Below are 12,597 nucleotides of genomic sequence, written 5' to 3'. Positions count from 1 at the left end.
GGATGCAAAGCCTGGGAACGAGGCACCCTGCCTCACCCTGCCCCGGTCTCCTGTGTGTGAGAGGGAGCTAGGGAGGCCACGTCTCCTTGTGTGACCTCAGTGGGAACCGACATGGGTGACTCAGGGTTTTGACTGCTCTGCAGTGTCTGAGAGTGACCGCAAAAGCTCCAGAGTATAGTTCTGGAGGTTACACATGCATTTTAGTGAGTAGGCAAATTCACAAAACTAAAATCTGCAAATGGAAGCCACTGTATGGAAGGACAAATATTGCAACATTGTTTATATGAGGAAAAATAGACACTACCTGTATGCCCAGCAGAAGGAAATTCATTGAATAATTTAGGGTACATTCTTAATTTATGCAACCATTAGAAGTGCAAGGATGAAAGTATTTGTTTAGATAGAAATATACTGATGGACGTTGAAACATGGTCATCATGAGTGAAATAATCAGATTGCAGCATTATAAGGTGCGGTCATGTTTGTAGGTTGAAAACGGGAATATATGGATGTTTACATGCATACTCATATATGTATATACATGGGTGTATTATATGTGGATTCCAACTGATTTTTTTTGTTTGTTTGATTTTTTGAGAGGGAGTCTCACTCCAGCCCAGGCTGGAGTGCAGTGGGTGCAATCTCAGCTCACCGCAACCTCTGCCTCCTGGGTTCAAGCAGTTCTCTTGCCTCAGCCTCCCAAGTAGCTGGGATTACGGGCATGTGCCACCACGCCCAACTAATTTTTCTGTATTGTTAGTAGAGATAGGGTTTCACATATTGGCCAGGCTGGTCTCAAACTCCTGACCTCAGGCGATCCACCCACCTTGGCCTCCCAAAGTGCTGGGATTACAGGCGTGAGCCACTGTGCCTGTCCCCAAGTGCATTTTTTTGTCATAACTTTTTTCTTAACATAAAGTTGTGCCTTGGAAAATGGTTCATGAATGTGGAAAAAAATTCAGAGTCCACAAAGGTGTCCTCATTGCTGCCGCCCCCCTTCCCCAAGGAAGCCGACGTCGTTCCCTTCAGAGATGTTCTGTGCATAGGTGAGTGTGTGTGCCTGAGTGTGTGTTTGTGAGTGTGTGTAAATGGGGTGAGAGCACCCCCATTTTCTGTAGTTTAGGGTACATACCTCACTTCTCCTTAATGGGACTTAGAGTTGATTCCATTGCTGCCCATAGAAATCTTTGGGTCACTGTTTGTTTTTTGTTTGTTTTTTAGACAGGGATTTGCTCTGTTGCCCCTGCTGAAGTGCACAGTGACACGATCATGGCTCACTGCAGCCTCAGCCTCCTGGGCTCAAGTGATCCTCCCACTTCAGCCTCCTGTGTAGCTAGGACCACAGGTGCATGCCACCACACTCAGCTATGTTTTTTTATTTTTTGTGAAAACGGGGTTTCACCATGTTGCCTAGGGTGTTCTTGAACTCCTGAGCGCAAGTGATTCTCCCGCCTCGGCCTCCCAAAGTGCTGGGATTACAGGCGTGAACCACCGTGCCTGGCCTAGCTCACTTTTATTTTCTTTTTACACATCTGTAGTTGTGATTTTTCTCCTTGTGATTTGAAAACATACTCTCAGAGCACCTCTTTAAGGGATATGTTTGCCCAAAGCCTGAGGCCAACCCTCCAGCTTTCCTCCCCACTGTTGGTTCCTCAGCCTGAGGTGGGGGGTCTGAGCCATTCTTACCAGCAGGAAGGAGGTCAGGAGCCCTGCTCAGACCTTAATGGTGGCAGAAATGAATGTGACTCACTCATTTTCATGGGACACGTCAGTCAGTGACATGAAATGGCAGAGAAGACATCACCTTTTATTCTTTGCCTGAAGGAAGAAATAAAATCATCTTAGAGTTGAAGCCAAAATCAACCCTTCTGGTTTTTGGAGCCATCGAGTCATTTCATGTGGATCTTGAACACCCCCACACTCCCAGTTCATACACGCGGAGCCTGATTAGGGAAAACATTTGCTTTATGAAATTTTTTTTTCACGTATGTGAGTTGAGTATAAAGAGTAGCCTGGGCCGGGCACAGTAGCTCACAACTGTAATCCCAGCACTTCGGGATGCCGAGCCGGAAGGATTGCTTGAGCCCAGGAGTTCAAGACTAGCTTGAGCAACAGTGGGACCCTGTTTCTACAAAAAATTTAAAAAAAAAAAATTAGCCGTGGCTAGGCGGTGTGGTCACGCCTTAATCCCAGCACTATGGGAGGCTGAAGCGGGCAGATCACTTGAGGTCAGGAGTTCGAGACCAGCTAGGTCAACATGGTGAAACCTCATTTCTACCAAAAAAACCCCAAAAATTAGCCAGGCATGGTGACATATGCCTGTAATCCCAGCTACTCGGGAGGCTGAGGCAGGAATCACTTGAACTGGGGAGGTGGAGGTTGCAGTGAGCCGAGATTGTGCCACTGCACTCCAGCCTGGGAGACAGAGTGAGACTCTGTCTCAAAAAAAAAAAATTAGCTGGGCATGGTGTGTGCCTGTAGTCTCAACTGCTTGGGAGGCTGAGGTGGGAGGATCACTTGAGCCCAAGAGGTCAAGGCTGCAGTGAGCTAAGATCACACCACTGAGCTCCTGCTTGAGCAACAGAGTGAGACCCTGTTTCAAAGAAAAAGTTCAGACACCAGGCACGGGGCTAGGGAGGGGGCTCCTTGCCACCCCCCTCACACTCTTGGCTTTCTTCCCTGTGGGAGTGGAGTGACCCCGTCCTCAGCGTGTTCTGCCCTTGCTCTGCTCGTGTGTGTGTGAATGCATGCATGTGTGGTGTGTGCATGTGTGTGTGTTGTGTGTGCATGTATGTGTGGTGTGTGTGTGCGTGTGTGCTGTATGTTCCTCAGCGTGTCCTGCCCTTGCTGTGCTCGTGTGTGGCTGTATGTGTGGTGTATGCATGTGTGTGTACACCTGTGTGTGTGTGTGGTGTGTGGTGTATGTATGGTGTGTTTATGCATGTGTGTGTGTGCATGTGTGTGTATAGTGTGAGGGTCTTTGCCCTCCTGCAGATTCACCCTGCTGCTGTTTCCCTTCCCACACAGGCTTTTGGGTCAGGGGATGGCTGTTGGCTGTTGTCAGCAGCGGGCCTAAGTTGGAGGGTTCACGCTGCTCCCCTGCATGATGGCCCATGGAGGCTGACTCCATTTCCAGCTCATTCCAGAAACAGGAGTGTTTTTCCATGTAGCATAGTCTCTTGTGTGAGACATCACACTCCACGGTCTTTGCAGCTGGGAACGTTTCTGGTTTTTTTGCTTTTGAGACAGAATCTCTCCCTGTCACCCAAGCTGGAGTGCAGTGGCACAATCTCAGCTCACTGCAACCTTTGCCTCCTGGGTTCAACTGATTCTCATGCCTCAGCCTCCTGCGTAGCTGGGATTACAGGCACACACCACCATGCCTGGCTAATTTTTTGTATTTTTACTAGAGATGGGGTTTCACCATGTTGCCCAAGCTGGTCTTGAACTCCTGAGGTCAGGTAATCCACCCATCTCGGCCTCCCAAAGTGCTAGGATTACAGGCATGAGCAACCGTGCCCGGCCACGTTTCTGTTTTTCCAACCGTTAAGTCCACGTAAACCATGGCGTGCAAGCCTTCCCACGTGATGAGTCCGCATAGGCAGCGTCTGCTGGGTGGTTACCACAGGCAAAGCTTCCATTTTCTGCGATCCTGAATCTTGAATTTCAGTGTGACCACAAGAAGTCATTTACTTAGTGCATCCTCCAACAGCAAGGCTCGGCCAAAACGTCAATCACCAGATGAGGGGGGTTCATTCTAATTTCCATATCACCTCTCCCACTGCTGCCTGAAAAGAAGCCCCACCTGTCTGGGATGTTGCAGTGTTTGTCTGGGAGAGTAGATGTTTGTCGTCTTTGCACTTTCTCTTTTGTTGCTTACTGACTTAAAAGCAATTTGTCTTGGGCTTCTGAATTTCGACTCTCCTTTTGTCATTGCTTGCGGGAGGCACCGACATCACCTCCTGCTTCATGGGCCAGAATATTTCTCTTCCTGTGTATAAAGGGGAGATTCAGGCCTGGAACCTGGGCATGGCCGTGGATGCGTGGAATGAGGAAGGTGATGGCTCCGCCAACTGTTTCTTCCTGTGATTAGGCGTGAGTTGGGAGCTTGGGAGCGCTCGGATGTGTAACTTTGCTTGGTGATAGTTCTCCAAAACAGCCCTTGGAGGGAGGCCCCTGTCACTTGCAGCGTGATGTCCTTCCCCCCCAGCTTGGTTTAACACCCACCGGCTCCTGGTCCCCAGCTCCTGAGAGGTCAGGGTCGAGCTGGAGGACAGAGAGCTGTGTGCTCAGGAACGTCGGGCAAGTGGGTGATCGTTGCCCTGAATCTGAACCCTGGTGCTGGATACACAGGCAGCGGCCGGCTCTGAGCATCTGAGAGCCCGGTCATGGAAGGGATAGTCTCCTGCTGTGCTGTGCCTGGCAGCTAGAAACCCAGCTGTGCTAGGAAGGGTGAGCAGGGCTCAGTGCACCTGTTCTGCAGAGCAATGCGGGAGCAGTCAGTGAAGCTGAAGATGCATATGTGCCCTGTGATCTAGGAATTCCGCTTACGGAAGACAGACTTGTGATCCATGCAAGAATGTTTGTAGCCCCATGATTTGTAATGAAAACAAAATTGGGAACAATAGAAATGTCCATCCTTGGGCAGAAGTTCTGTGATCACACATGGCAAATGACCAAGCGGTAAATAGGAATGAACCAGAGCGACAGGTAGTAGCCCGAACGAGCCACCCAGATGTCATGTTGAGTGAGCACAGGAAGACGCGGGACACATAGAAGGACAGCGTGTGTGTGTTCAAAGGTATGCAAAGTGATGACACATAGTATTCAGGGATGCGTATGGATGGAGCAAAAATGTTAACACACATGGGAATAACAAATCACTATGTCCGAGACAGCGATTTTGGGGAGCACACAGGGAGGGGACTTCATGGGAGGAACACATTATTAGGCTCCCGTGAGAGGTGTGTGGGCGTGGACCATCTCTGTACCTTTGTGTATGTCTGGAATATTGCGTAATAAGTAATAGCTTAAGAGAGAAGAGAGAGCCAGTGTGTGGCTGTGGTGTGTGTTGGGCTTATTTTTAATTCTCCCATACCAGGAAAGGCGGTCTGGGGGAGACAGCAGCAAGCTGGTGTGTACTAAGCCGATCCCTTGCCAGCCCACACACTTCTGGAACAATGAGAACGGCAACAAGTACAGGAAGGCGTATTTCTCCAAATTCCCAGGTCGGCTGGAGAGATGCAGACAGAGCTGCCGAGCCTCTGCGTTGTCTGGGCCTTCCGTGCCTAGTCGTGTGTCCTCGTCCTTCCCCTCCCATCCTGCCCCTCCCCTCTTCCTTCCCCCACCAGGGCTTGGAGAAGCTGCATATAGCTCATTCCTCCAGTGGGGCGATAATCAATTTTTGATGAATATCTTGTCTTCAGCTTGAAGCTATCATGTGTAACTATAATCTGGGTTTAGCTGAATCTCAGCCACCTCTGCCCAGGGCCCCGGCCCCTGCTGCTGGGCGCTGGCATGTGCCTCTGGTTTGCACGTGGGAGGTGGAGGGTGCAGGGCCCACTCGCTGAAACAGGGTGATGCCAGGGTGATGCCTGCCTGTTCACGAGGAGCGGCATGTGGAAGTGGTGTCTGGCTCGGGTCTCTTCCTCTGTGTGTCTCACCATCATCCAGTCCTCGTGGAGATGCTAAGGAAGAGTGCTTTTGCGGTGGAAGGATTTACAACCCGACACATCCCTCTCACATAGACTGACACCCCTGAGTGTGGTTTGAGTGGTGCCTTGCCCCAAAGCAGGAAAGTCTTTTATTTAAAGCTCTGATTCCTGCCTCCCTCTAATCTTATTTCATAAGCAGTCTCAAGTTATTGCTGCCATATAATTCATCGTTTAGCAAACCTTCTGTTTCAGAGTTATTTATACTAAGTACTTGCTTGCTGCAGTCTCTCAAAAGGTAATGTGAGTGAGCAAAGAAGGACGCGGGGCACATAGCATAGACGTATGGAGAATCAGAAAGCAGCAAGTGGTAGGATTTGCCAGGGATCTTTCCTGCCCTGCATATTTGCATGTCACCGTAAAAGCCATCATGCTTGAAATAGCGCCTTCCTGCAGCAGCGTGGGGCATCCCCCCAGGGGTGGCTCAGCCTCCACTGCATCCCTGCTGCACCTAAGCCCCACCTCGGCTCCTGCTGTGAGCAGCTGTGCAGACAGACGAATGCAGAAAAGCAAGAGTGGATGTGGAGAAACACTCTTCAGATGACCCTGAGGAGGAGGGCAGGGGCTACTGCCTTGGGAGGAGAGGCCAAAAGGATTAGAGTCTCAGCTTGAGGATCCATCCAAGAAATGACAGCCCTTCATCTTCTGTAACATTGCTCTTTGAAAACTCTGTCACTTTTTTTGTCACATGTGCAAGGGTTCATGTGATGTGTCTCAGGATTAATTTCAGAATAACCTCTTTTTGAAACTGATATTCCTTCTTGGAGAAAACAAATACTTTGTGACATGATATATTTCCATTTTTGCCTTGGCTGTCAGGAAACTCAGAGCTGAAATCATTGCTTTGTTTTTGTAGTCCTCTTACCTTTAGGGTAGGGTTTTGCTTCTCTTTGAGTAATCCTATCTTGAAGTCAGTTTTAAAGGCAGCTTCCTTCGATACTTCCTGGGTGTAGATGAGAGACATGAATAAATATGGAAAGACAAAGGCAGATCAGAAATGAGATTTGAAGCTGTTTATCATGGACAGGGTGAACACAGCCTGCACTTAGACCATTTCTCAAGCACCAGCGCTGAGAGATTCTTGGGCTGTGTAGGAAATGGCATGATGGCAAAACCAAGCTACAAGAGCGAGTCTTCCTTTCCACAACTGGGAGTGGGTTTACGGACATCATTACCTTAAAAAATGATGCCAGGTGAAAGTGTGAACAGGCCGTATGCTGATGAGGTATTGCCCCTCCCAAGAGGGCATTAGCTGCGGGGGTCTGCCCGCAGACCCTGACCCAAACGACGGATGAATAAACATACACTGACACACAGATATTCTGCTTTGCCCGTCCAGCGGAGGGTCTGAGGCCACTCACAGACTGCAAGGAGGGTCCTGTAAAGAATGGCGACCACGGCCCTGAGCAGCTCGCGCTCCAGGCATTTACTTAGTATATAATTAACAACAGAAGTTCTGAGTCAACACACTTGTAGATAATGATTAAAAGCGAGGTTCCAAGGCTCCAAGCAAACACCATTAGTGGGTAATATCCCTGGTTGACCTCCCCCAGAGAGAGCCATCCTGCCCTCAGATGTCTGAAGGTCAGTCTTAAGACCACGTGAGTAAACAAGCTAACTAGATAACTTCCCCACATCCCATTGTTTACTAGTCTAATCTATTTAACTAATAGGTAATGGGACCAGGCCGCCTTTAGCCCCGTCTATTACTGAAGTCATGTGAAAACCCTCAGGCCTTCCAGAAGGGTTTTGTGCCTGTTGTAACTAATATTTTTCCCACCAGCCTGATCGAATCCCAACATGCTGGTATGGAAAGATTCAGGAAGTTAGTAAGTGAAAATGAGAATTCAAGAACAGAGGACCTAGCATTGCTTTTGTGTAAATTTTATTTTTTAATTAATCTTTTTTTAGAGGGTCTCCATCTGTCCCCCAGGCTGGAGTGCAGTGATGTGATCTCAGCTCACTGCAGCCTTGATCTCCAGGGCTCAAAGGATCCTCCCGCCTCAGCCTCCCAAGTAGCTGGGACTACAAGTGTGTGCTACCATGCCTGGTTAATTTTCATATTTTTTGTAGAGATGAGGTCTCTGTGTTGCCCAGGCTGGTCTCAAACTCGAGCTCCAGCAGTCCTCCTGCCTCAGCCTCCTCAAATCCTGGGATTACTAGTGTGAGCCACCGCACTGGGCCTTCTGTACATTTTAAAAAGGAAGTACATATGTGTGATTGTGTGAATAAATGAATAACGAGTGTGAATAAGGGCTTAAATGAGTGGTGAGATGATGAGCCCATTTTGGTTTTCCTTATGGCTTTTTATTTTTATTTTTTGAGGCGGAGTCTCGCTCTGTCGCCCAGGCTGGGGTGCACTGGCACCATCTCGGCTTCTCGTGCCTCAGCCTCATGAGTAGCTGGGATTACAGGCACGCGCCACCACACCAGTCTAGTTTTTGTATTTTTAGTAGAGACGGGGTTTCACTGTGTTCGCGAGGCTGGTCTTGAACTCCTGACCTCGTGATCCGCCTACCTCGGCCTCCCAAAGTGCTGGGATTACAGGCATGAGCCACCGCGCCCGGCCGCTTTTTATTATTTTTAAAAACCTAATATTTTAAAAGAAAGTAAAGCAAGCTTAAGATTTAAGTCAGTGTAGATGACACATTCCAAACAGGCCTGGTCTGTTACCGGCAGTCACCTGTTCCCCCTGTTCCCACCGTGGCTCCACTTTGGCCTCAGCTCTCAGGAGACTCAGGGCTGAAGTCAGTGCCTGGAAGAAGGAGAATGATCTGACTCTGTTCAGTCTGCTCTAGAAAGGAAGACGCTGCTTCTGTGGCTTTGTTTCGCCATCACGCCGCTTCCTCTGTGGTACCCTGCAGCCAGCTGCTACTTGTGGATTCCTCCTCTCAGCTTGGCTTTGCAAAGGATCAAAGTGTGTCAGGGGGAAGTTTCCACAAAAGAAAATTTCTTCAGAGTGGATTTACGTCTTCCTTTTTCTCTGCATTTCCGGGCTCTCAGTTAATTAGGGCACAGTACTACAAATGGCCCAGAAAACCCAGAAATTTCCCATCCAATTCAAGGGAGATCTGACCCAGGCAAACGAGACTGTATGTTGTTGCTGGCACGAAAGTTCCAGAATGAGGCAGGATTCCCAGGAGAGCGGCATAGGCTTGCAGCTCTGATCTCCTGGGGCTGCCATTCATAAACTCAGTTTGTTGAGTAGACATACACATGTGCTCCTGCAGAAACCGGACACATCAATCGCAAGCCTAGGAGTGAATTTTTTTTTTCCTTATTTTTGTGTGTGAATCTTTAAAAGTCCAATGAGAGGTTGGGCGCCGTGGCTCACGCCTGTAATCCCAGCACTTTGGGAGGCCGAGACGGGTGGATCACGAGGTCAGGCGATCGAGACCATCCTGGCTAACACGGTGAAACCCCATCTCTACTAAAAAATACAAAAAATTAGCCGGGCGTGGTGGTGGGCACCTGTAGTCCCAGCTACTCGGGAGGCTGAGGCAGGAGAATGGCGTGAACCCGGGAGGCGGAGCTTGCAGCAGTGAGCCGAGATCGTGCCACTGCACTCCAGCCTGGGCAACAGAGCAAGACTCCGTCTCAAAAAAAAAAAAAAATGTCCAATGAGACGCCAGGCATGGTCACTCAGGCCTGTAATCCCAGCACTTTGGGAGGCCGAGGCAGGTGGATCACCTGAGGTCAGGAGTTCGAAACCAGCCTGACCAACATGGTGAAACCCCATCTCTACTGAAAATATAAAAATAAGCTGGATGTGGTGGCACGTGCCTGTAATTCCAGATATTTGGGAGGCTGAGGCAGGAGAATCGCTTGAACCCTGGAGGTGGAGATTGCAGTGAGCCGAGATCGCGCCATTGCACTCCAGCCTGGACAACAAGAGCAAAACTCCATTTGAAAAAAAAAAAAAAGGTCCAATGACAAAAGAATTGGTTTCACTCTCCAGCCTGGGGAGGCGGGAGGAAGACCTGAAGGCCTGCAATTCTCTTTTTCGCATCAGATTAAGTCGCTTAGGGCTCATTTCATTCTCTTCAGCTGCCTCCCAGGGACCATGCGCTCCCTGCATAGAGTCCCCTTGGCCTTCATCCCTGTAGAAGGCTTGGTTGTGGCTTGTGGCAGTGTCGCCTTCACAATGTCACATGAATGGGTGGATAGACTACGTAGCTGTTGAGTCATGAACTGTTTGGGTTAGCACTTGGCTCAGAGTGGAGAAGTGTCTGGAGATTTGGAGAAAAGAGATGCTTTCTGAGGCTGCCCCCCGTCAGTGAGGACACGGAAGCTGGCTTATTTACTGTTTTCCTTTCCTGGATCACAGGAAATCTTTGGGGCCTTACTTCAGGAGGAGAGCCTGCTGCTAAGGCAGATGACTTCTCGTGTTGCAAAGCGGCAGAGATGCGCTTTTGATGATGGCCAGCCAGTTCCCCTCAGTGTGGATGATCAAGGGCTGAGCGTGAGTTAACTGCTCCTTTGGTGACTCTCAGATGCGTGGCTTCTCTTCACTGTTTGGCGCCTGGGTGGAGGATGTGGCCAAGGAACCTCTCTCCTTAGATGCTGCGTCCAACGCTGGGTTTTGATCCCTTTGGTCGATCAGCTTCACAGCACCACCCCAGCGCACAGGCTTTCTCTGAACAGCTGCACACGTGGCCACTCATGTAGCCTGCTGATACCGTGTTGCCGTCACCTCTGGCTCTTTCCTCTTCCCCCACCCACCTCGTTTCCTGGGTTTTACCTGCTAATCGGTTCTCTGTCCATGTGGCTAATGCTTTGGTTCAAGCCTGCATGGCTGGGACTGGTGCAGTAGCCTCCTTCCTGGCCATGAGCTTGTGTATTCCATTCTAATATCTGACCCCAACCTCTGCACACCTTGTGCCCTCAGCTGCCCCTGGCCACTCTTGCTTCCCAAGACGTGGCTCGTTCTTTCCTGCGCTCCACTCAGAGGTGTCTCCAGATGCTCCTGTTGACCCCCAGTGCCCTGGCCGCACTTGGTCCCGCCCTCTGTGAATTCCTGGGTCCTTGCTGGTGCCTCAGGAGCTGTGTCTCCTCGCCGGCTGTGTCAGAGCTGCCCTGGCAGCAGCCCTCACTAGAGGGCATGTTCCTTGGGGCAGGAACAGTCTAGCTCCCTCCTGCCCCAGCCCCATGCCAGGCCTGCCTCTGGGCCCCAATGATGTCTGCGGATCCGCACCTAGTGTCTGTCCAGGCAGCCCATCACGGCCCCTTCTCCTCGGGGTGACCGGGCACCTCTGCCGCCCTTGCAGGTATCAGGGCTCATGGCGACTGCTGCAGCATCAACCCGAAGACCGGGGGCGTCATCATGCTCGGCTGGAGGTAAGGGCTGCAGAGTCGGCTTCTCTTCCCTGGAGCCCCACCTTCCGGAGGCCTGGGGGTGGGGGAGGAGGCACTTTCTGTGAGAGTCAGTGATCCCCTTCCTGGGCACCCCACTCCACTCCAGCACCAGGGTGTCCACACCACCCACGCCTCTGCTGATGTCTGGGACCCCCCACCGCCCCCCGGCTGGTGTGCCATGCGTCCCTGTGCCTGTGCACATGCTGCCCCGAGCCTGAAGATCCCCTTTGAGAAAGCATTGTCTGCTCAGTCTGCGACATGGCTAACTGTCCCCCATCTTGGACCCTTTCTGTGTCGTTTCTGGGGTGGGGCATCCTTGTGCCAGCTTCCTTCCCGAGGGCTGGGTCTGGGCGTGATCCAAGTTTCCCTGCCCTGTGATGGGGTTCTCGGGTAGGGGGTGTCAGGGCAGGGGTCCCACAGCAAAGACACAGCAGTGTCCACACCCAAGACAGGGGACGCGTGTGCAGGTGGGAAGGGAGTGAGGTGACAGATGTTCCTGCACAGAGGGGCCTCCCTGGATGTCGCGCTTTAACCTGAGAGGGAGAAAGAGCCATGTGGCGGGGCAAGGAGCTGGGGAGGGGAGCATCCGTGACTGGTCCTGGGGGAGGCCATGTGGAAGGGGGGTGACCTCCCCTGGGACCCCTGGGAGTTGCCTCACTTCAGAGCTGCGGTGTAGCCCTGACTTTTTCTCGCTTTCCAGTGACGGCACGCTCAACCCCGCGGTTCGGCAGCCTGGAAACCTGTAACATAGGTATGTTCTTCTCCCTGAGCGTTCTTGAGTATCCAGGAAGGAGGAGGGTCCTGGTGGGAGCCCCAGGGCGAATTTCCACAGGCCCTACCTTTGGCACGACTCTGGCCCCTTGGTCTCTTGTGTGACAGTGGACGTTTGAGAGCCTGACCTCCTTTTCAGATGATACCTGGCCCACACTGCCGTCCTCATAAAACCTCACATGGGGTCTTTAAGGTCCCTTGGCCCATCCCCATTATATTTCATCCCCCTGGTGAGCTCTGTTGGGTTGGTTACTAGCTTCTACTCTTTTTTTTGTTTTGTTTTTTTGACACAGTCTCTCTCTGTCACCCAGGCTAGACTGCAGTGGTGTAATCTTGGCTCACTGCAACCTCTGCCTCCCAGGTTCAAGCAATTCTCATGCCTCAGCCTCTTCAGTAGCTGGAATTAGAGACATGCACCACCATGCCCAGCTAATTTTTGTATTTTTAGTACAGACAGGGTTTCACCATGTTGACCAGGCTGGTCTTGAACTCCTCACCTCAAGTGATCCACCTGCCTCGGCCTCCCAAAGTGCTGGGATTATAGGCATGAGCCACTGTGCCAACTTGTTTCTGCTCTTATGGGTTAAGAAACCAGAAGCACAGAGAGGGTGCAGGATTGCTGAAGGTCACACAGTGCTATGCAGGACACCAAGCACAGACAGTGTAGGCCTGTGGGTCTCACAGCTGCACGGTGGAGTCCCCTGTGGGCCTTCAGACTGCGCGGCCCAGGGACCCAGGCCCAGCCCAGGCCACAAAGTCG

The 12,597-nt window shown here is 51.1% G+C and overlaps 1 pseudogene across 2 annotated transcripts in view; it reads left to right on the top strand.

Moving 5' to 3' along the window:
• AACSP1 (acetoacetyl-CoA synthetase pseudogene 1) overlaps positions 1-12,597 on the top strand; it is a 53,575-nt pseudogene that overhangs the window by 32,121 nt on the left and 8,857 nt on the right. For both annotated transcript variants that reach the window (NR_024035.2, NR_135095.1), the window contains exons 5-7: positions 10,039-10,173; positions 10,979-11,048; positions 11,767-11,817. The product of NR_024035.2 is annotated as an acetoacetyl-CoA synthetase pseudogene 1, transcript variant 2 (transcript). The remainder of the gene's footprint in view (positions 1-10,038; positions 10,174-10,978; positions 11,049-11,766; positions 11,818-12,597) is intronic.

This window comes from Homo sapiens, chromosome 5 (assembly GCF_000001405.40).
Source record: "Homo sapiens chromosome 5, GRCh38.p14 Primary Assembly".
NCBI lineage: Eukaryota > Metazoa > Chordata > Mammalia > Primates > Hominidae > Homo > Homo sapiens.
The sequence above is the reverse complement of the archived record's forward strand: the minus strand, read 5'-3'. Positions and strand labels throughout refer to the sequence as shown.